This window comes from Homo sapiens, chromosome 1 (genome assembly GCF_000001405.40).
Source record: "Homo sapiens chromosome 1, GRCh38.p14 Primary Assembly".
In the NCBI taxonomy this organism is placed as follows: Eukaryota; Metazoa; Chordata; class Mammalia; order Primates; family Hominidae; genus Homo; species Homo sapiens.
Window position 1 is genome coordinate 16,013,849 of NC_000001.11, and position 20,249 is coordinate 16,034,097.

The 20,249-nt window shown below is 60.2% G+C and overlaps 2 protein-coding genes across 11 annotated transcripts, besides 11 other annotated features; one reads left to right on the forward strand and one right to left on the reverse strand.

Moving 5' to 3' along the window:
• HSPB7 (heat shock protein family B (small) member 7) lies at positions 181–5,746 on the reverse strand. Of its 8 annotated transcripts, NM_001349682.2 has the most exons (4): positions 5,286–5,746; positions 3,917–4,004; positions 3,226–3,359; positions 181–1,911 (listed from the first exon to the last, which is right to left on the reverse strand). In NM_001349682.2, exons 1-4 carry the CDS (start codon positions 5,619–5,621, stop codon positions 1,732–1,734), a joined length of 738 nt encoding a protein of 245 aa, NP_001336611.1. In that variant the 5' UTR covers positions 5,622–5,746; the 3' UTR covers positions 181–1,731. The 8 variants fall into 8 exon arrangements, with proteins under 8 accessions (NP_001336611.1, NP_001336614.1, NP_001336616.1 ...); NM_001349685.2 differs by lacking the exon at positions 5,286–5,746 and having other exon boundaries at positions 3,226–3,341; positions 3,917–4,195; NM_001349687.2 differs by lacking the exon at positions 5,286–5,746 and having other exon boundaries at positions 3,241–3,359; positions 3,917–4,195.
• Positions 2,997–3,743: an enhancer, noted in NCBI's record as "H3K27ac-H3K4me1 hESC enhancer chr1:16343340-16344086 (GRCh37/hg19 assembly coordinates)". NCBI's record gives its function as "activates a minimal SCP1, AML or CMV promoter by ChIP-STARR-seq in naive H9 embryonic stem cells {active_cell/tissue: H9 hESC(naive)}" and the evidence as "EXISTENCE:reporter gene assay evidence [ECO:0000049][PMID:30033119]".
• Positions 3,744–4,488: an enhancer, noted in NCBI's record as "H3K27ac-H3K4me1 hESC enhancer chr1:16344087-16344831 (GRCh37/hg19 assembly coordinates)". NCBI's record gives its function as "activates a minimal SCP1, AML or CMV promoter by ChIP-STARR-seq in primed H9 embryonic stem cells {active_cell/tissue: H9 hESC(primed)}" and the evidence as "EXISTENCE:reporter gene assay evidence [ECO:0000049][PMID:30033119]".
• CLCNKA (chloride voltage-gated channel Ka) lies at positions 8,188–20,202 on the forward strand. 3 transcript variants are annotated; one of them, NM_004070.4, is made up of 20 exons: positions 8,188–8,215; positions 8,765–8,871; positions 9,952–10,080; positions 10,915–11,043; positions 12,260–12,399; positions 12,688–12,765; positions 12,849–12,927; positions 13,462–13,587; positions 13,973–14,057; positions 14,170–14,271; positions 14,913–14,997; positions 15,278–15,451; positions 15,883–15,952; positions 16,117–16,227; positions 16,613–16,826; positions 17,862–17,995; positions 18,355–18,443; positions 18,595–18,678; positions 19,322–19,408; positions 19,763–20,202. In NM_004070.4, exons 2-20 carry the CDS (start codon positions 8,772–8,774, stop codon positions 19,808–19,810), a joined length of 2,064 nt encoding a protein of 687 aa, NP_004061.3. In that variant the 5' UTR covers positions 8,188–8,215; positions 8,765–8,771; the 3' UTR covers positions 19,811–20,202. The 3 variants fall into 3 exon arrangements, with proteins under 3 accessions (NP_004061.3, NP_001036169.1, NP_001244068.1); NM_001042704.2 differs by having other exon boundaries at positions 18,598–18,678; NM_001257139.2 differs by lacking the exon at positions 10,915–11,043.
• Positions 10,081–10,914: a non allelic homologous recombination region, noted in NCBI's record as "sub-region a, recombines with sub-region a' within the CLCNKB recombination region". NCBI's record gives the evidence for it as "EXISTENCE:nucleotide sequencing assay evidence [ECO:0000219][PMID:9326936]".
• Positions 10,081–20,249: part of a biological region, named in NCBI's record as "CLCNKA recombination region", that runs on past the window's edge. NCBI's record gives its function as "recombination_partner: LOC106501713".
• Positions 12,194–13,102: an enhancer, noted in NCBI's record as "H3K4me1 hESC enhancer chr1:16352537-16353445 (GRCh37/hg19 assembly coordinates)". NCBI's record gives its function as "activates a minimal SCP1, AML or CMV promoter by ChIP-STARR-seq in naive H9 embryonic stem cells {active_cell/tissue: H9 hESC(naive)}" and the evidence as "EXISTENCE:reporter gene assay evidence [ECO:0000049][PMID:30033119]".
• Positions 15,953–16,116: a non allelic homologous recombination region, noted in NCBI's record as "sub-region b, recombines with sub-region b' within the CLCNKB recombination region". NCBI's record gives the evidence for it as "EXISTENCE:nucleotide sequencing assay evidence [ECO:0000219][PMID:10906158]".
• Positions 16,580–17,079: an enhancer, noted in NCBI's record as "H3K4me1 hESC enhancer chr1:16356923-16357422 (GRCh37/hg19 assembly coordinates)". NCBI's record gives its function as "activates a minimal SCP1, AML or CMV promoter by ChIP-STARR-seq in naive and primed H9 embryonic stem cells {active_cell/tissue: H9 hESC(naive and primed)}" and the evidence as "EXISTENCE:reporter gene assay evidence [ECO:0000049][PMID:30033119]".
• Positions 18,317–19,124: an enhancer, noted in NCBI's record as "H3K4me1 hESC enhancer chr1:16358660-16359467 (GRCh37/hg19 assembly coordinates)". NCBI's record gives its function as "activates a minimal SCP1, AML or CMV promoter by ChIP-STARR-seq in primed H9 embryonic stem cells {active_cell/tissue: H9 hESC(primed)}" and the evidence as "EXISTENCE:reporter gene assay evidence [ECO:0000049][PMID:30033119]".
• Positions 19,125–19,931: an enhancer, noted in NCBI's record as "H3K4me1 hESC enhancer chr1:16359468-16360274 (GRCh37/hg19 assembly coordinates)". NCBI's record gives its function as "activates a minimal SCP1, AML or CMV promoter by ChIP-STARR-seq in naive and primed H9 embryonic stem cells {active_cell/tissue: H9 hESC(naive and primed)}" and the evidence as "EXISTENCE:reporter gene assay evidence [ECO:0000049][PMID:30033119]".
• Positions 19,231–19,300: an enhancer, noted in NCBI's record as "active region_258". NCBI's record gives its function as "activates an Ori minimal core promoter by ATAC-STARR-seq in GM12878 lymphoblastoid cells {active_cell/tissue: GM12878}" and the evidence as "EXISTENCE:reporter gene assay evidence [ECO:0000049][PMID:35858748]".
• Positions 20,203–20,249: part of a non allelic homologous recombination region, noted in NCBI's record as "sub-region c, recombines with sub-region c' within the CLCNKB recombination region", that runs on past the window's edge. NCBI's record gives the evidence for it as "EXISTENCE:polymerase chain reaction evidence [ECO:0000082][PMID:15044642]".

Here is a 20,249-nt window from a genome sequence, read left to right on the forward strand (position 1 = left end):
CCCAGGGGGGTCTGGGGAGCCCACGGAGGAGGCCGAGGAACGCCCACATTTTGTGAGGTCTTCAGCTTTAACTTGAGCTACAACCCCCATCCCCAAATCTCAAAGAAGGTGTGTCTGTTTCTCTCAGGGTTTCCAGCCCTGCCCTAAGTTTGAGAACTCCAGGCAGGCGGCCTCCAGAAGTCTGTGAGACTGTCCTTTATTGTGTATACAGGTTCCAGCGTCAGGGCTCTCCCACGGCCCCCTCCCCAGTCCTCCCCCAAGGGGCCCAGAGTGGTGGGAGTGAGAGGCCACCCTAAGGCACACTGACCAGAGAGGCATGGAGGGAGGAGGCTGACTTGCCCTGGGGACCCCTGCTAACTGAGACCCACCCTTCCCCTCCACCCTGCTTCTGTATGTGGGAGACGAAACCAAGAGTCATTGGGGGCAGCAGGCATTTCCCAGGGTTAAGGCTGATGGAAGGTCCCTATCCCAGATGGGAGATGGGGGCTTTTCCTATGACTCCCCCCCATCCCCCAGCTGGAAGACGTGGGGAGGGTTGCATAGCCTTAGAGAGGTAGAATGAGGGGAAATACTCCTCAGTGCCCAGAGGTGGGGAGTTGAGAGCAGCAGTTGACACCCTGGGTTCAGATCTAACCTTCAGTGACAAAGCACAGCACTCAGTGGCTCGGGGATGTTTCCCCGTTAATGAAAATGGAGATTGTAAATCTGATTTGAGAAAGCTCTGAATTTGGCCTCAACCAATGGTAATGCTGAGTATTTGAAGGACAACGATAGGGGTGTGTGTGTTACACACACCGAGCCTATAGATTCATAGATTAAAGAGGGGGATGGATGGAGAGCTGACTGCCCGGAGGGGAAGGTGGCAAGAAGCTGGGGTCCAACCTCGAGGACCCAAAGCCCCATCCATGCCCTGGCTTCCATCTCTGTTAGGTGATCCTGTCTGCATGGGAGCAGCCCCAAGAACACAGGCCTGTGGGAGGGAGAAGGACCAGCCCCACCCCCAACCCCACTTGGCCTTGCCTGGAGGCCCCAGCAGGCGCAGGACGGCAGGAGTTTCATGCAGTTTATCACGAACCAGCTGTATTGGAAAAACCCCATCTATATACAGATGTGGCATGGCTCTGCCCTGGCACAGCCAGCTGGCTGGGGGCACGGGGTGGGCAGGCAGCCTGCTCGCTGGCGTGGGGCTTGGAGGCTGGTAGAGGGGAAGTTTACCGTCACGGCTGTCTCCTCTTGGCCTTGCTGAGCCCTCGGGCAATTAGTTCCACTTAGATAGGCACCCTTGCCTGTGACCTTCCCTCTGTCCCTCCCACTCCCCTTGGCCAAGAGGGTTCCAGGTCCCTGGTCCCCTTGCCCTGCAGAGACTTCATAGATCAGAGGGTTTGTCTGTCTGTCTGTCCTGCAGAGCTTGCCCATATGTCCTGCTGGTCCCATTCCCCTGACCCACAGTGGGTTCTTTAGATCTTCCTTCCCTGACCCCAGCCCCTGTACTCTGGATTAAGTGACGGAGGCCAAATCTGAAATCTGGGCATCATGTGTCAGGCCAGGGAGTCCCTGGCCTGCCCTGGATAGAGTGGAGGGCCCTAGTTTGGGAGGATGGTCCACCTGGGGTCTGGGGTGCGTGGGGGCTAGAACCTGGGCTGAGATGTCCTGGAGCTGTTGTAATGGGGTTAGCGAGGCTTTGCTGGCAGGCGTGGGGCGGGGGGACAGGGAAAGGGAAGGGAGAGGCACTCAGATTTTGATCTCCGTCCGGAAGGTCTGCTGGACGTGTTCTGTATGCGGGTGACGCCGTGCCCGGATAGTGAGGCTGCCGTCCTCCCGCAGAGCCGAGGTCACCGACGTCGGGTCCACGTCCTCCGGCAGCTGGCACTTGTGAGCGAAGGTGTTCATGACAGTGCCGTCAGCCGCCAGCTGGGGAAGGGGTGACCCGTCAGGCAGGCTGCCCCGACCCCTGTCCTGCTTGTGACAAGCCAGAGCCCTCTTCTCCCCATTCTAACCCCAGCCAGACCCCACATGCCGAGGGGCTCTGCCCTCAGGTGCCGAGGGGCTGCCCAGGGTGGTGATGGCCACAGGCCAAAGGCTCTGCAGGGACAGCGCAGGGGTGCTTCGCAGAGCTCCAGTAGCTCCAAGGAACAGGCCAGGGACATGGGGAAGAGGTGGGGCTTGGAGAGAGAGGAGGCTCCGTGGCAGTGGCTCCGAATCTGGGGCTCCTGGGGAACGTGGAGGTGACAGAGGAGAGCCGTGCCTTCCTGGATCCCCGGGCACATTGGGCATCTGCCCGCCAGGGCTGAGCGCCGGCCCCTCCCCCGCAACTCAGCCAGCACATAGTGTCCAGGGGAGTTTGGGGCGGCTGAGTCACTGTTGGGGGTGGCAGGGCTGGCACATGCTGCCTGTGGGTTTTGGTGCCCCCAGTCCATGGCATCCCTGGCAGGGACGCCCAGAAATCCACCCTTGAATGTGGAGGGGAAGAAGCCAGTCCTTGGGGGCTTAGGAGGAGGCTTGGGTCAGGTCCTCTCCTCTCTCCTGGCAGCCGTGGCTGTCCCTGGGCAACGCCCCTGTTCAGGCCTGGCCATACCCTCTCCAGGGTGGAGGCCCCAGTGCCTCCTAGAAGTTCGGACTCAGACACGCTAGAGACCCAGTGACCCTGAGACCTGTGGGCGGGCGCTGTGTGTGGTTTGGAGTGTGTGTGACCCGAAACTGCAGGGCCCCTGCCCAGCCTCGGGCCTAATTTAGGGGTCCCAAGATGGGGGATGGGTCTCCAGCTGTGGGAGGGAAGAGGGCTTGAGGTGGGTCACATGGAGAAACCCCTCCCCCCACTGCCCAGGTGAGTTCCCCACCTACCCGCATCCGCCCCCCTATAGCTACCAGAGGAGCTGTCCTCACTCTGCCATCACCATCTCACACCTGTCATCTCCCACCCTCAAGCCCCACCCCCTCAGGCTCCCTCTGCCCACATCCCTCCATCCCTCTCCCATTCCTCGGAGGCTCCCTCAGCTGCTCAGGCCCTGGAAGAAAGGATCTGGGAACCTCGGTGCAAAGAGAGGCAGTGAGGGGGCCCCATGGCCATGGGTTGCAGGGACAAGGCCTTCAGTTAGCCCTGGGGGAGTTTGGGTGGGGAAGGGACACTGGCCAGGGTCTGGGGTCCCAGGATGGTAAGGGGGAGTAGGAGACATTGGAGGCAGGAGCAGAATTTGGGATGCGGTGAGTAGGGGGTGGGGGGCTCACCTTCTCAGCCCGCACCTCGATGTGGTTGTTGGAGGTGGTGACAATGATGTCTTCAGGTGAGAAGTCTCTCACGTCCACCGCAAACTCATAGGCGTCTCCTAGGGTCTTGATGTTGCCTGCCCCACCGGGGCGGGCTGTGGGATGGGCTGCTGTGAGCGAGGCATGGAGCAGGCCTTGCATGCAGATCCGGGGGTTCTGGCTCCTTCTCTTGGGGCAAGGGGCGGCTCCCCCAGGCCCTACCTCCCCCCTAGCTGTTTCTCCCTAAGCTCCTCCTCATTCCTACAGCCCACCTTTTCTGGGGTGGGGGTGGGGCCTCACCCAGCACAGTGTGTGTGTATATGAGGCTAGGTCTGTAACAACCCCACCCCAGGCCTGGAGCCTGGGGGCTGCCCCCCACCGCTCACCCATCCAGCCCTCCAGGGCTCCAGCTGGGATTGGCTGTGGTTACAGAGCATGGGTGGCCATGGAACCATGTCCAACCCCCAGGGCCACAACTGTTCCTTAGAGGCCCACCTGTTTTCATGGCCACATCTGTCCCTGTGGCCACATCTGTCTTGGTGGCCACACATGGCTGCAGGCTGTGCAGCACCTGTTCCAGGCCGACCGGCAGCCACAGCGCCTTCGGTGGCGCCCTGGAGCAGACGTCCCCTCCCTGTGCACCTCCCCTCCCCTCAGGGCCCGGATCACTTGCCTGGGAAGGCCAGGGGCTCCGAGTGGGGCCGCATGAAGCTGCCAAAGTCATCGGAAAACATGCTCAGGGCCTTCTCCATGGGCGGGTCCTGGGCCGGGAGAGCACGGGAGGCCGAGGAGGAGGTGGAAGAGGAGGAGGAAGAGGAAGAGGAATGGAAACTTCTCTCCGCTCGGAAGGTGGAAGAGGTTCTGTGGCTCATCCACGGACGGCGCCGGGCCCTGCCCAGGCGGGCGAGGGCTGGACAGGAGAGGGTGTGGGCGCAGGCCTCTGGGCGAGCGTGCCAGGCTCCGACTGCGGCCGCTTTATAAGGCCGACTGTCCCTGGGCTTGGGGCCAGCCCCTTGTCTACTAGCTAAATTTAGGCCTCTCCATGGCCCAGAGGGGGCTGGAAATCTTCTCCCGTGCGCCGGCCCTGCTGACAGCCCGACACGCAGGCCGAGAGGGCTGAGCTCACAGCCTGACATTCCAGGCTGATCACAGCAGCCCCAGGGGCCTCCTCACCACTGCACAGGGCTGGATCCTGTCTCCTTGCCACTCGGACCTCGGTGCCTGCCCCAGAACCTTGCAAGTTTGGGGTTTATTGTGTGTTTTGTTTCCCCCGTCAGCCTGGGGGCTCCTGAGGACTGTGCCTCCCCTCCAGACTCTGGTTCTCCTCCACGGCTGTACCTCCTCCATCAGTGTGCAGGCTCCTTGGGGACAGGGTAGGTGGAAGCACCACCGCTCTGTGACGTCAGGAGCTCCTTCCCTCAAGGCAGACAACCTTCACAGCCCATCTCTAAGGAAAGGTTGAGCCCTGCCAGGGGGTGTAAAATGTGCAGCTGTCCCCTGCCAGCCCCCATGGGGACCTGGATTCTGTGCCTGCACTCCCTCTGACTCTCAGAACATTCAGCAGCCCCAAGAGGACAAAGTTGGCAGCTTTCTCCTTAAAGGTCTAGAAGGTTGTGTTCCCGGCAACTGTCTGCTCCATCTCTGTGTCAGAGGTGATGCCTGCGAGCGCCTTAGGTGGGATTTCAGTCAGAGGTAAAAGAGAATTCCGGAAGACAATTATTCTAGCCCTGAGTTCTAGAATGCCTTCTGGGCATGGGCTCCTGGCTGCAAGCTGTCCAGCACGGCCCCGTTTGATCCCCACACAGCTGGGAGGGTGGAGGGGCTCTTCCCATGTTACGGACGGGGAAGCGAAGCCTCTTGGAAAGGGCGGGGCTCGCAGTTGCGTAAGTGGCAGAGCTGGGATTCGAACCTAGATGTGTTGGACCCAAAGCCCTTCAGAGGCCGAGGTGGTTTGAACATGTGCCTATGGAGACAGGCTGGCCCGGAAGAGCCAGAGAAGCCCCTCCCTACCCACCTGCTTGCTCAGCAAAGCTGGGACTGACCTTGCCCTGGGCCAGGGTGGAGGCCATTCTGAGAGGCGGCCAGGCCCTCTGCTCTGCCCAGGTTGCAGTTAAGGGCCTCTGCTGTCCTCTCCAAATCCGTCCCTTCCGTCCCAGATCAGCTCCAATGCCTCCTCCCCCAGGGAGGCCTCTCTGACTGCTCCTGCTCACATGGGCCCACACCCAGTCCAGATGCCCCCAGCACTGACTGTCTTTGTCCTCCCACAGCACCTGGCAGTGTGACATAGTCTTCCTGTGTGCTGTGACTCTCTGCTGTGTCCCTTCTTCCCTATCCAACTGGCAGTTCCCACGGGGGCGAGGGTTCACCTGTCTCCCCATTAGATTGAAGGTTCTTGAAGACGGGCAGTTTCTCTTTTGTCTGAGCCCCCTACAACCCAGTCTGGAGCTTCATCCTGGAGAGCTCCTTCTACAGGGGTATTAGCGGTGCTGGTGGTATGTGGAGTGGAAGCAGAGCAGGGCACAGGGCACAGCGGCGGGCCAGGCTGTTGCCTGGAGCAACAGGGCCTGTTGCCTCTGGCAGAGTTTCCTGCCCGTGTCGGGGCCTGTGACACCCAGCCTGGCTGAGGGGTTTCTAGGGCAGCTGGGAAGCCACCAGCACTGAGGTGAGATGGAGAGAGGGTGGGGCGGGGTGGGGGGCCCAGAGCCTGCCGCTCGCCAGGGAAACAGGAGCCGGTGGCTAAATGCAGACACACTGTCATGGTGCTGAGGGCCTGAGTCACTGCCCCTGGATGTCAGATCCCGTTACCCACCCCCGCCCACCATTCCTCCTCCCCTTTTTCCCCCTTCCCGAGGCATCACCCACACAAATACTGGATCCTCTGGCTTCACTGACCCAGAGGGACCTCAAAAGGTCATCAAGGACATTCCCCTGCCTCTACCTTCAGATCACAGAGACAGAAGGAGCTACAAAGATGATGCAGTCCTTTGAATCCCAGTCACCCAGGAGAGCTTTTCACAAACACAGACCCTTTCCTTGGACCCCAGGATTTTGATTTGGGATCTGGGGAAGGGACCTCACATCTCTTCCCATCAGCTCCCCACACAGCCAGCTCATAGGCCAGTGATGAAGCCCTCATCACTCAGTAGGTATTCATTGAAACCTTGCTATAAATAGGTGCTGGGCACTGTTCTAGGCTCTGAAGGACTCAGAGATGAATAAGGCAGAGACAGGCCCCTGCTTCCAGGCTCACCTCATCATACAGAAGAGGAAACTGAGGCTCTAGTTGATGAAAGAGTTAGGGTCAGCAGAGCTGTGCTGGCTTCAAACCGGTCATCCTGCTGAGCCACCCTGGCTGCCCTCTTCTCAGCCTCCTGGTGCACACAGGGCTGGGGGGTGAGGGTAGATGTGGACGTGCAGTGCTGGCTGTGGGACAGTAGCCAGCAGCTGCCCCAGACCAGACACTGGAAATCGGGATGTTGACAGGGCAGCCAGTTCTGGTGCTGTGCAGAGTCAACAGGTCGGGGTGGCCAAGGTGAAGGTGGGCTCGAGTCCATACAGAGCGGCAACTCCCATCCCACCTCCCACAACACACATCTTTGATTTTGATTTGACTTGCCTGGCATCTAGGGGCAAAGGGTGGCCCAGGGTCCCAGATTTTAACAATCATCCAAGGGCTATCATAAGCTTCAGAGGGTGGCTTTGTCTGGGTGGGAGTGGAGGCAATTGTCCCCAACCTCTTGCCCAAAAGTGGCATCAGACACAACTCTTCTGTTCTGTGCCCAAACCATTGCCCTGGTTCAGCCTCAGGAGCTGGAGGAGCTTTGGGCAGGGGAAGAGCTGCACAGTGTGGGGCTGGGTTCAGCCTCTGCTGTGTGACCTTGGATGAGTGACTCACCTCTCTGACCATCTACAAAATGGCGAGGCTCTCCCCATTCACAGGGTGTGGGAAGGAGGACTTGAGCTGCAGATGTGACGCTCCTGACACGTCGCAGGCACACGGCAGGTGCTTGTTCCTCGCCATGTCCCCTCACACCTGTGCTGCCATCCTCTGTTGGGGTGGGACAAACTCTGTGGAATTACCCAGAAGTCCCCACCAGAGCCGCTGGCCCTTGGACGTGTGCTTTGAGAAGCATTTCCTGAGCCTGGAGGGTCTGGACACAGGATCAAGTCCGAGTTCCTGACCCCAATTCACTGCCTTGCCCCAGGTGTCGGCCTCCTCGCCAGCCCTGGACAAGATGGGTCATCAGGATGGGACCGTGTGGCACAGCCTGCGGGCTTTGGAGCCAGGCAAACCTGGGCTGGGAATCCTGGCTCTGCCTCGGCCTCCGTGATCTTAGACAGGCAGCCCCAGCTCCCTGAGACACCATTTCTCTACAACGGGATCACGCTGCCTGCCTCGTGGGATTTCCGTGGGCACTCAGGGTAATTAATCTGGGAGAAGGCTGACTCTCTACCTGACACACAGGGAGGCTGTGGTCATGCTGGCCCCACTCACCATTGCCCCCCTGCCTTCTCCTTCCCTTCCCAGCCTCCTCCCCTCTCCCTCTGTGCTTTTTCAAACCTTCCATGTCCAGCTCTGAGACCCCTGGACCCTGAGTCTCAGCCTTGGCAGATGACCCCTCTCTGTCCTGCTGTGTGCATGAGCTCCCCCTTCCCAGCCCTCGTCCAGCAGCACCCAGGAGCCTGAGTACAGCTGGGCACCACCCTCTGTGCAGCTGTGATGGGTGGGGAGGCTCCTGCTCCCCTTCTCTCTTGGCAGTTCTGCCCTGCACAGCTCTGGCCTCCACAGTTCTGGTTGGTTTGTCAAGGACGTTTTTAATCTCCATGGTAAACCCCGGCCGGCGGGGAAGGGGGGTGGCAGGGAGAGAGTGATGATTGGTAGAGCATATACCTGTCCAGGTGCACTGGAGCTGGGAGCAAAGGAGGCTCTGTGAGAGGAGGGCCAGTTCAGCCGCAGCAGGAGGACTGACAGGTGAGGGGTCTCTGGGCGTGGACTGGAGTATGAACCTGGAAGGGCCAGGCAGGCAGGGCATAGGGGATGGTAGGGGCAGTAGCCAGCACCTCACTTTGGCTTTGCAGAGGCCTTCTGGTCCTGGGGTTTTCCTGCCTCTGTGACCTGAGCTGTCGGGGAGAAAGGAGGGTGCTCCGAGATTGGCAGGGAGAGTCGGAGCCATCCATGGGACTCTGCAGTGAGAGAGTCACAGCCCTGGGCAGAGACTGCTCCCAGTAGTGGAAGCACCAAGCGACCCAGGAGGGTGGGAGCGGTGTCCACAGTCTGCTGCTGGACACAGGGGGACACCTAGGAATCCCACCCTCATCCCACAAAATGACACACACAGGCACACACCCTCAGTGACGGAACCTCAGGGATGAGGGCACACACAGACCTAGTGTGATAACACACACACACACGCACAATCCTTCCTCTTCATTTGGGTGGGGAGAGCACTGGAAGGGCCCAGAGGCAGCGCGAGGACGTGCAGCAGCTCACCCGGGTCCTTCCCTCCATCTGCTTCTCCAGGGGCCTGATGGAGGAGTTGGTGGGGCTGCGTGAGGGCTTCTCAGGGGACCCTGTGACTCTGCAGGAGCTGTGGGGCCCCTGTCCCCACATCCGCCGAGCCATCCAAGGTGAGAGCCAGGTCCTCTTCCCTACCCGCGGGGGACCACTCAGGACATCATTCCTGCCTGGCTCCCACCCCACCTCTCTGCCCAGGAACCACCCTCCTGTCATTTGTCCAGGACATGACTGCCCAAAGTCTCCTGGGTGGCAGGGAGGGAAGGGGTCTGTCTGTCCAGCTGTCTGTGGGTCAGATGGGCCAGGCATCTGCCCTCTGCCTTTCAGGAGATACAGCCCAAGGCCTGGTCACTGTGCCTATCTTCCACCCAGGCCTCTCCCTCACCTACCTGTGCCAATGAGGGGACGTGGGGGTTAGCTGCTGGGACAGCTGGGGGCACAGCAAGGGGCTGGGGCAGCCTGCACTTGGCACCCTTCCTTGGAGCCCCATGTGCCTTGTTCACTTTGAGACCTGACTGTCCCCTCAGCTACGGGGCAGAGCAAGTAGGGACCACAGAAGGAGACTAAGTGCAGTGCCAGTGGCTGGTGCCCACAGCCAGTGAGGGCCAGCTCCCAGGCTGGGCTGCAGCCAGCGGGCCAGGGGCATTGCTGGGGACCCAGAGGATACCTGGCGCCACAGGCCCTGGGACACGCAGAAGTCTGCTAGACCCTGGTGCTCTCTAAGCTATGGATCCTGCAGGGATACAGGTGAAAGCTATAGCTGCCAGCCCCCTTCACACTCCCTGTCCCCCAGGAACCTCCCAGTACAGGCACGGGTGGGGAGAGTGGACAGGTCAAAGGCCTTCTGGCAGGGGCAGCAGTCCTGGCATCCACTGTGCCACCACTGTCACCTGCCACAAATCCTGCCCAGCCCCCAGTGTGAGGCAAGCCAGCAGAGGGTAGCTCCAGGCTCACTCAGTGGTGGCCTGAGGTTCTGTTCAGGGCTCCTCCATCCTGACACAGCCATCTGCCAGTCCCAGTGCGAGGAACGTGGACAACTTGCATTCCTCTCTGACTCAGGCGGGGCCCCCTCAGGACTACCCCAGACTCAACTACCAGGGTCCTCCCTGCCTGGAGCCAAGCAGACCTCCAGGGAAGGGGCTGTCTGTGCCCCTTGCCCCAACATAAGCTGGGACTCCGATACCCTGCCCCAGGTGGCCTGGAGTGGCTAAAGCAGAAGGTGTTCCGCCTGGGAGAAGACTGGTACTTCCTGATGACCCTCGGGGTGCTCATGGCCCTGGTCAGCTATGCCATGAACTTTGCCATCGGGTGTGTGGTCCGAGGTAACTCTTCCCTGGCAGGTGCTGCTCTGGGCCAAGGGATTCTAGGCACGCTCTGGGGATACCAGATGGGCCACCAAGTGCAGCGGTGCAGGGACGGACCTGGGTGCGGGGAGGGCTCTGGCTCTACTCCTGATTTGCTCTGTGATCCTGGGCAGGCTCCTGCCCCTCTCTGGGCCTCAGTCTCCTCAGCCGCACAAGGAAGAGAGACCTGAATATTCCCAAGAGCCCTTCCTCCTCTGAGCTCTCTGGCTCCTCTTCCAGCCACCCCGTTCCTTCTCCTTCCCTCCTCCGTGCCTTGGGGCAGGAGTGGGGACACTTGCCTAGATCACCAAACTTGGAGTCTTCCCCCTGCTCCCTCAGCAGCCTGCCTCCACCCTGAGGCCTCCCTGGAAGAGGGGGTGTGGGCAGGAAGGGTCTAAGACACTTTCTCTGGAGACCCTCAGCTGCCAGAAGCAGCACCTACTATGGTGTTACGGTGTTTGGTGCTTCACACCTGTGTCATGTAGTTCTCAGTGGCCCTTTAGTCTTTAATGTCTTTAGTCTTCAATGAGCCTGTGAGGAAGAGCCAATCACTAGCCCACTTGGCAGATGGGGAAACTGAGGCTCAGAGAGGCTGAGTGGCTTGCCCAAGGTCACTCAGCTAGGCAGTGGTAAACCTGGGATATGGACCCAGGGTCGTACTCCTGCCTTTTCTTGGGGGTCTGCACCTCACTCTGTGGCCTGGTCCTCCCCTCTTCGTGACTCCATTTCCTGGTCAGTAAGTGGGCACCACAGTGTCTGGCCCTGAGGGCTGCAGAGGCTGTGGGTGCCTCCCTGATACGCGGCTGTCCCCAGCACACCAGTGGCTGTACAGGGAGATTGGGGACAGCCACCTGCTCCGGTATCTTTCCTGGACTGTGTACCCTGTGGCCCTCGTCTCTTTCTCCTCAGGCTTCTCCCAGAGCATCACGCCCTCCTCTGGAGGTGAGTCCACGGTCGCCATGCCAGTCCCCAGTGCCAAAACCTTCTCAGATCCCAGGGGGCTTCTGATGGGGGGAATCGGGAAGCTGCAGCCTCATTTCTCAAGCCCAGAAGAGTTATGTGGCTTGCCTGAAGGCACACAGCAAGAAGGCCAGATCTTGACTCTTGGGTCACTGCTGGCCCTACTCGCTTTCCAAGGGCTCCTTGGAAGGAGATTGCCCTGTGGGGCCTGTGCTGGTGCCAGGAAGGGGCCCATGGAGGAGGTGCCGCTCCCTCAGGCCACTCAGCCCTTCCTCCAGCTCCAGGCCAGCAGAGGGGAGCTCCAGGCTCACTCAGTGGTGGCCTGAGGTTCTGTTCAGAGCTCCCCCATCCTGACACAGCCATCTGCCAGTCCCAGTGGGAGGAACGTGGACAACTCGCATTCCTCTCTGACTCTAGCATCCAAATCTGCAAAATGAGTTTATGCATCCTAACCTCTGAGGGTTCTGCGTGATCATAATAGGACTAGGTGCAGTGACTCAGTCTATAATCCCAGCACTTTGGGAGGTGGGTGGATCACTTGATCCCAGGTGTTCAAGAGCAGCTTGGACAACATGGTGAAACCCCATCTCTACAAAAAATAAAAAACAACCACCACAACAAAAAGTTAGCCAGGTGTGGTGGTGCCTGCCTGTAGTCCCAGCTACTTGGAAGGCTGAGGTGGGAGGATCACTTTTGAGCCTGAGGAAGTCGGGGTTATAATGAGCCGAGATCGAACCACTGCATTCCAGCCTGGACAATAGGGTGATACCCTGTCTCAAAGGAAAAAAAAAAATCATAATGTGAAAACACCGTGCGGGTAGAGTTATGAGAGTTTTTTTTGTTTGTTTGTTCGTTTGTTTTTGAGATGGAGTTTCACTCTTGTTGCCCAAGGTGGAGTGCAATGGCACAATCTTGGCTCACTGCAACCTCTGCCTCCCAGGTTCAAGCAATTCTCCTGCCTCAGCCTCCCAAGTAGCTGGGACTGCAGGCACCCGCCACCATGCCCGGCTAATTTTTTGTATCTTTAGTAGAGATGGGGTTTCACCATGTTGGCAAGGCTGGTCTCGAACTCCTGACCTCGCGATCCGCCTGCCTCGGCCTCCCAAAGTGCTGGGATTACAGGCGTGAGCCACTGCGCCTGGCAGAGAGTTTTAATCTAGAGATTGTCCCCTGCTTGTTCCTGTCCTGTCTGGCTAAGGTTCTGGAATCCCGGAGCTGAAGACCATGTTGGCGGGTGTGATCTTGGAGGACTACCTGGATATCAAGAACTTTGGGGCCAAGGTGGTGGGCCTCTCCTGCACCCTGGCCACCGGCAGCACCCTGTTCCTGGGCAAAGTGGTATGGTCAGGTGTGAGGGCACCCCAGCCACCCCGCCCACCCTACCCTGCCCCAGCTCTCCCCCATACCCCACCAAAGCTGGGTCAGAGCAGACTCAGGCCAGTGCCTGCCTTCAGGGAGCTCAGTCTTAGGGGAAGAGCCAGGCCAGGTCCCCAGTGTGACAAAAGCTACCTGAGGACAGCCCTGGGGGTTGGGGAGATGGAGGAGGGGGTGTGGTGGGGAAGCCGTGCTGCCTCGGGGTGAGACTGTCTCTGCTGCCCTCACCTGGGCCCACCCTTCCCTCTGCAGGGCCCTTTCGTGCACCTGTCTGTAATGATCGCTGCCTACCTGGGCCGTGTGCGCACCACGACCATCGGGGAGCCTGAGGTTAGGGACTCGGGGGCTTCCTTGGAGAAATGGGAGTGGGGAGGGAGGGGGCTGACTCTGAGCCCTGGACTCGGATCCCCCAGAACAAGAGCAAGCAAAACGAAATGCTGGTGGCAGCGGCGGCAGTGGGCGTGGCCACAGTCTTTGCAGCTCCCTTCAGCGGTGAGACCCCCCTCATGCCCCGCCCCCTGGGTCCCTCAAGCTCCTCCCCTCACACCCTGGGCTCCCTCGGCCCAGCTGAGAGCCTGGAGGAGGGGATGGGGCTCATTCTTGTTCTCACTTCAGCCCCGCTTTGGGTATAGCCACCCCCCGGGGGCGGCGGGGCGGGGCGGGTGGTTGGGGGCGTGGTTGGGCGGTGCTGAGAGGCTTCAGGATAACATTACACAGACTTGGGTTTGAAATCCACTGGCCCCTTGGCCTCTCTGAGCGCAGCTTCCTCCTCTGTAAAATGGGGATCAAACCGTTCCCACCCGATAGGGAGAGGGCGCACACCTGCATTCCAGGCTGGATGGATCCCTGGGCAGCGGGGTCCTCCCCGCCCAGGGCGCAAGCCCTGCCCTCCCCTTCTGTCTGTCCCTGTCCGGGCTGTAGGACAGCAGGACAGATGGCTCAGGGAGGAGGCGAGATGGGGGAGGGGGCCCTACAGCCACAGGTGGGTGGGGGTGGGGGCCCACCTGACATCAGTGTCGCCCCCAGGCGTCCTGTTCAGCATCGAGGTCATGTCTTCCCACTTCTCTGTCCGGGATTACTGGAGGGGCTTCTTTGCGGCCACCTGCGGGGCCTTCATATTCCGGCTCCTGGCAGTCTTCAACAGCGAGCAGGGTGAGCCCCCTGGGCTGCCTGACCCTGGCCCTGCCTGGGGGCCGGGGCGAGGGAGACCTCCCTTCTCCTCTGTGTACATCTCTTGCTCTTCCCTTCCCTCTCTCTCCCTCTTTTCCCTCCTCCGTGTTCCCACCTCCTTCAGGGAGGATGGAAGGGGCTGACCTGTGTTGAGCCCCTGACCTGTGTTGAGGGGCAAGGGGCCCTGAGGGTAGAAGGGATGAGGCTGGGCAGGGAGGCAAGAGCCTGGTTGTGGGGGCCTGGAATGCCAGGACACAGATTCCGAGTCAGGACCTGGCACCCCCTCCACCCTGGGCTGTTAGTCTGGGACTTGAGTTTGGGTCGGGTGGGAGCGCCATCTTGGCTCCCCACTGCCCTCCTTCCCCAGAGACCATCACCTCCCTCTACAAGACCAGTTTCCGGGTGGACGTTCCCTTCGACCTGCCTGAGATCTTCTTTTTTGTGGCGCTGGGGTGAGTGGGTGCCTTGGGCCCCTGAGAGTCCAAAAGGCATTCCCCCCAAGGCCTGGACTGCGGCCCCTGGTACTGGGGTCAGGCTCTGGTCTTACCTCCCTTCACCCCGCAGTGGCATCTGCGGCGTCCTGAGCTGTGCTTACCTCTTCTGTCAGCGAACCTTCCTCAGCTTCATCAAGACCAATCGGTACAGCTCCAAACTGCTGGCTACTAGGTAGGCTCTGGGCTAGGGGCTGGGGACATCTCAGTGAGTCCCTTGTGGACTCCAGACCTTATGTAGAAAGCCCCACCCCCATCCTCCCACTGAGCCCCTAAATCCCTCCCTAGCCCGTGGAGCATCTAACAACCCTCTCCAAGTCCCCACAGTCACTGTCCCCCCTTCCTTACTGGGCTACGAACCCCACATTGAACCCCCATCCCTCCTTCATTCTACAATCTCTCAGCGAAACCCCACCCCCTCACTGAGCCTCAAACCCTGTGCCCCTTCAAACCTTGTGTGGCCCCTGGCGTTGGCCTTGGCATTGGCCAGCCCTCCTGCCCCGGAGATGCACATGGCCCGCCCCGGCCCGGCCCACTGTCTCCTCCCTCCTAGCCTGCCTCTGCCCCAATTCTCCTCTCAATCTCCTGCGTGATTCCTCTGCCCTCAGTCATACCCAGTTGAGGGGCTCACCCCACGGGTTCTACCCGCTGGAGGGGGCCATGTTCCCTGCTCCCGCCCTTCCTCCTCACCAGTCCTTGCCTCGGTATCAGCCCCCAGGTGGGGAGCTCTGCTGCTGCCTGGACCAGGTCCTACTTCCCTCTCCTCGGGATGTAGGAAAGGGAGGGCCAGCCCTAGAGCTCACCCACCCCCCACAGCAAGCCTGTGTACTCCGCTCTGGCCACCTTGCTTCTCGCCTCCATCACCTACCCGCCTGGTGTGGGCCACTTCCTAGCTTCTCGGGTAAGGGGTCCTGAGCGGGGGTGGCAGGAGTGGGAACCCCCATTTGTTTTCCCCTTTGCATGTGTCTCACGTAATACCCTCAGCACCCCACCAGGGTGACACCTGGGCATCATTCTGCAGATAAGGAGACCATGGCTCTGGGAGGTCAGAGCCCTGCCCAAGGCCCCCCGCTGGGAAGTGGCAGGGGAGGATTCCAGGCGGGGTCAGGCGGTGCGGGGGAGGCTGGGGTCTGCCGCTGGGGGGGGCCCCTCATGTCCAGTTCCCACCTGCCCCGCCACAGCTGTCCATGAAGCAGCATCTGGACTCGCTGTTCGACAACCACTCCTGGGCGCTGATGACCCAGAACTCCAGCCCACCCTGGCCCGAGGAGCTCGACCCCCAGCACCTTTGGTGGGAATGGTACCACCCGCGGTTCACCATCTTTGGGACCCTTGCCTTCTTCCTGGTTATGAAGGTGGGCCCCCTGACCCCCAGGTGTGCACAGAGCCAGGACCAGCTCTGGTGGGGAGGGGCGGGGGTGCCTCCCTGCACCTGGTGGCATGGAGCCCAGGCCTCTCACCCACACTTCCTTCTGTGCCCCCTGCCCACTGCATGGTCCTGGATAAGTGGCTTCAGGTCTCTGGACCTCAGTCTTCCCATCTTTAAAATGGGGTGGTTACTGGGAAGGCAGAGAAGGAAGAAAGGAATGTACCTGGCACAGTGCCAGGCATACAGTGGGCATTTCTCAGGGTGAGGACCCTCCCCTAATGCCAGACTCTGGCAGTGGGTGCATGGCTGGCACCCTCTTTCTATCTAGGACACTCCCCTGTCCCCTGTCCTGTCTTCTCTTGTCCACACCTTGCCCAGCGGCCTCTAACCTCTGCCCTGGGCTCCCCCTTCCTGCAGTTCTGGATGCTGATTCTGGCCACCACCATCCCCATGCCTGCCGGGTACTTCATGCCCATCTTTATCCTTGGTGAGTCTGGGGTCCTGAGGTTCTGAGAGTTTTGGGGTTCTTGGGGCAGGGCCATGCATCCTGGTTCACCCTCTTCCCGGGTGGTACTAAGGATGGTCCTCAGGGATGGAGGGCTGTGGGGGCCGGGTCAGCCTGGCTCCCCCTCACCCTAAGTCTGTGGCCAGGAGCTGCCATCGGGCGCCTCTTGGGAGAGGCTCTTGCCGTCGCCTTCCCTGAGGGCATTGTGACTGGAGGGGTTACCAATCCCATCATGCCCGGGGGGTATGCTCTGGCAGGTGAGTGGGTCACGGCCCTGCTGGGTGGGCAATGTCGTGGGGCTGGGCTGGACCTGGAGAATTGGCTGGTGGTTCCCCAGGGCACGGAGCAGTCACTGAGTCCTCCAGTGAACCCCCTACCCCTCATGGGGGTCTGTCCCTCCTGAGCCCCACCATTCCCCGGGGCCCATCACTTCCTCGTGGCTCCTGTCCCCAGCCCTGCGGCCTCCCTTATCCCTCTCCTCTCACCAAGCCCAGGCCTTGGGGCACTTCCCACAGTGCCCAGGCTGTGGCCTCTTACAATTCCCACCCTAGCCCCCGGCAGCAGCCAGGCTAGTTATTCCCTCACATCAGGCTGGCCCCTGCCTCCTGGCCTGAGCCGACCTGTGTGGCTCTGCCCCGGCAGGGGCTGCAGCCTTCTCAGGGGCTGTGACCCACACCATCTCCACGGCGCTGCTGGCCTTTGAGCTGACCGGCCAGATAGTGCATGCACTGCCCGTGCTGATGGCGGTGCTGGCAGCCAACGCCATTGCACAGAGCTGCCAGCCCTCCTTCTATGATGGCACCATCATTGTCAAGAAGCTGCCATACCTGCCACGGATTCTGGGCCGCAACATCGGGTGAGTGGTGCCCACCTCAGGCTGACTGAAGGGGGTCACAGTGTTTGGGCTTGGCTGGGGGTGGAGGGCACCTCCAAAAAGAAACACCACCGCAGCTGACCTCCGACATGGGGGCTGGGAGGGGCTGACACACAGCTGTGCTCTCATCTCCACTCTCCCCAGTGCCCTGGGTGACCTTGGGCAAGTCCTTGGCCTTGAGGCCTCAGTGTCTGTCTAGGGGTCAGCTGGGCTTCACAGCAGGAGGATGAGTATTGCCCCGTGTACAGATTGAGGAAACCAGAGCTCAGAGAGGTGCCGTGTCTTGCTCCAGGTGACACAGAGAGTCAGCACCAGATCCGAGAGGTCTCCTCCCCTCTCCCCACTCCTGCTGTCCTTGCTGGGACTTTGGGAGCAGGAGGTGGAACGAGAATGGAAATGGGCTTTGAAGTCCTCACTCAACCAGATAGGACCAGAGCAGCTTCTGGCGCCAGAAAAGCAGACCAAAGAGGCTCTGAGAGTCCGAATCGGAGGCCCCGCTCCAAACACAAACAAGCTGCTGCCTTGCTCTGAACCTGTTTCCCCATCGGGAAAATGGGGCTGTTTATACCAGTGATTTTCAACCTTCCAAGTTTTTCCTTGGGGGTGACATACACTTTTATAATCAAATGGAATTATCCAGGGAAGGCTGCTGGGTCTGTACTCCAATCTCATTATTCATTAATGGATGGCCAGTCACTGACCACCTGGCAGATACTGGTTTTCCGTCATCTCACACTCAGCTCTGTCCAAGGTGGGACAAGACCCAAGTGAAGCTGGTCTGGGGGACATGGGGGACCAGGGGGTTGGGGATTTGGAACTGGGCCATCAGTAATGTGGTCCCCAGGTTTCCTCCCACTGTGGGTTCTAGGAGTCCCTCATTCCAGGAACCTCTCCAGCCCTGCTCACACTCCAGAGCCGTGGGTCCCTGGTTCAAGCAAAGCTCCCCTCAGATCCCCTTGCTGGCCTGGGTCTGACATCCCCGACTCCGGGACCTGATGGGAGCCCCTCTGCCTGCAGCTCCCACCATGTGAGGGTGGAGCACTTCATGAACCACAGCATCACCACACTGGCCAAGGACACGCCGCTGGAGGAGGTGGTCAAGGTTGTGACCTCCACAGACGTGACCGAGTATCCCCTGGTGGAGAGCACAGGTGCCCAGCTGGAAGGGAGGAGGAAGTCGGGGGTAGGGGATGCCCTCTGCCTCCTTCTTGAACCTGTCAGGCAGACAGGATCTGCATCCAGGCTCTGTGACTTAGCAACCAACCGTGTGACCTTGAGCAAGTCACTTCACCTGAGCCTCAGTTTCCTCATCAGCAAAATGGAAATCATGGCTACCCTCCCTTGGGGTGGTTGACATGTCTAAAGAGAGTCGGCTGGGTGCTTGTAAGGCAGTCCCTGGGCAGCTGCTGGGGTAGGAGCATGGGGACACCACCAAGGTCTTCCGGAAGCTTGGCCCTCAGGCCTGTTTCTTCATAATGCACCTCCCTCCCTCTCCCTCTCTACTTGCCAGAGTCCCAGATCCTGGTAGGCATCGTGCAGAGGGCCCAGCTGGTGCAGGCCCTCCAGGCTGAGCCTCCTTCCAGGGCTCCAGGACACCAGGTGGTTACTCCTGAGGGGCGTGGGGATGGGGCGGGGGTGGGTCAGCAGGGATGGGAGGGGAGGGACCCGCTGATCTCCTGAGGGAGAGGTGGTCTGAGAGAGGCATCCTGGGGAGGCCGGCCCTGCACCCATAACTCTTCCCCACTCCCAGCAGTGTCTCCAGGACATCTTGGCCAGGGGCTGCCCCACGGAACCAGTGACCCTGACGCTATTCTCAGAGACCACCTTGCACCAGGTAACAAGTATTGGGGAGTGTGACACACGCAGCCCCCGGGGCAGGGCAAGAGCTGATGAGGAGCTCAGGCTCCAGCCTCCCGTCCCAACCCCGCCCCGCCCATCTTATCCTGCTTCCTGCTCCTCCTGGGCCTGGACAGGGCAGCTCCTGCCGTCGCCCCTCACTGCCAGGGTTGCGGGGATGATGCAGAGAGATGAGGGAATTGGGGGGCTTGGCAAATGGAAGTCTCTGGGTGGAGAAAGACAGTGGAGTTGCACCAAGGCACACGTGCGTTTCAATTTCAGGTCCACCCCATTTTGCCTGTGTGATCTTGGACAAATTATGTAGCCAGTTGAGACAGAGCCTGACACAAGGATGGGGCAAGGGCGGAGGCTGACAGGGGACCTGGAGATGGCCCCGCCCCCTCTGTGCTGCTGGAGGGTGCTGGATGTTGGGTCCTGTCCACTTGCAGCCCCGCCCAGACCCTTGAGTGGCCTCTGGCATCCCCCAGTGGCCCACACTGGACATTGCAGGCCTGGGTCTGTTGCCTCCCACACATATCAGGCCCCGCCCCTCTTCCTGGCTCAGAGGCGTGGCAGAGTGGGCCAGAGGGTGGGCTGGGCGCCATCTACCCTCCAGTGTTTCCTAACAATCCCCCATCCAGGCACAAAACCTCTTTAAGCTGTTGAACCTTCAGTCCCTCTTCGTGACATCGCGGGGCAGAGCTGTGGGCTGCGTGTCCTGGGTGGAGGTACCAGGGTCCCGGGGGCAGAGCAAAGCAGGGGACCCATGCCTGAGAAGGCTGGGGAGATGGGGAGGTGGGGGGACACCAGCATGCTCCCATCCAAACCTGGGGGGATTCAGAGGATACTTATGAGTCCCTCTTTCTGGCCCAGATTGGCCACTGGGCCTGGCTCCCCTACCTTGTTTTCTGGCCAGTGGCCAGCCTGCCCTTCTCGGCCTCAGTGATCCCATCTGTGCAATGGGGTGGCACAGGCTCTACTATTCAGCCTGGAAATGAACCTTAGGGGACTAAAAATGCTGGAGCCCCCCTCACAACCTCCTCTACATCCCCCCCCACCTCCACCCCCTTTCTCTGTTCTAGATGAAGAAAGCAATTTCCAACCTGACAAATCCGCCAGCTCCAAAGTGAGCCGGCCCAGCAAGATGAAACAGGGCACCCCAGCTGACCTGGTACTGAGGTTGGGCTGAGACCCTGCTTCTCTTCCCCCATCACCACCTGCCCCTCCCTCCAGCCCAGCTCCATTCTTTGGCATAACAGGCAACTCTAACCTAGCCCAGAAGAGGATGGCTCATCCTGGGTGGGACGATGGCTCCTGCCTTGAAAGACAAAAATCCCACCTTGGGCAGAGCTGAGTGTGAGAAGATGGAAAACCAGTATCTGCCAGGTGCTCAGTGACTGGCCATCACATTAATGAATGACGAGATTGGAGTACACTGTCACCAAGGGCAGGCAAAGATGCCCTCTGGGGTTGTCTGGTTCCCAGTGAGAGGCTCCTGAGAAAAATAAAGCTGGTTCCCAGAGCTGCTGTCCATCCCTCATCTCAGCTGCAAGGTTGCTGGTCTGGGAC

Coding starts and splice junctions, on each gene's coding strand:
- HSPB7 (NM_001349682.2), bottom strand. CDS start 5,621: ATGGGGAGACAGGTGAACCCTCGCCCCCGTGGGAACTGCCAGTTGGAT. Junction 4,005..5,285: donor CCACCCTGGCCCAGGGCAAG/GTCAGTCCCAGC, acceptor CTCCCGGCCCAG/GACCCGCCCATGGAGAAGGC. Junction 1,912..3,225: donor TCGAGGTGCGGGCTGAGAAG/GTGAGCCCCCCA, acceptor CCCCTTCCCCAG/CTGGCGGCTGACGGCACTGT.
- CLCNKA (NM_004070.4), top strand. CDS start 8,772: ATGGAGGAGTTGGTGGGGCTGCGTGAGGGCTTCTCAGGGGACCCTGTG. Junction 12,928..13,461: donor CTTTGCAGCTCCCTTCAGCG/GTGAGACCCCCC, acceptor TGTCGCCCCCAG/GCGTCCTGTTCAGCATCGAG. Junction 17,996..18,354: donor TCCCCTGGTGGAGAGCACAG/GTGCCCAGCTGG, acceptor TCTACTTGCCAG/AGTCCCAGATCCTGGTAGGC.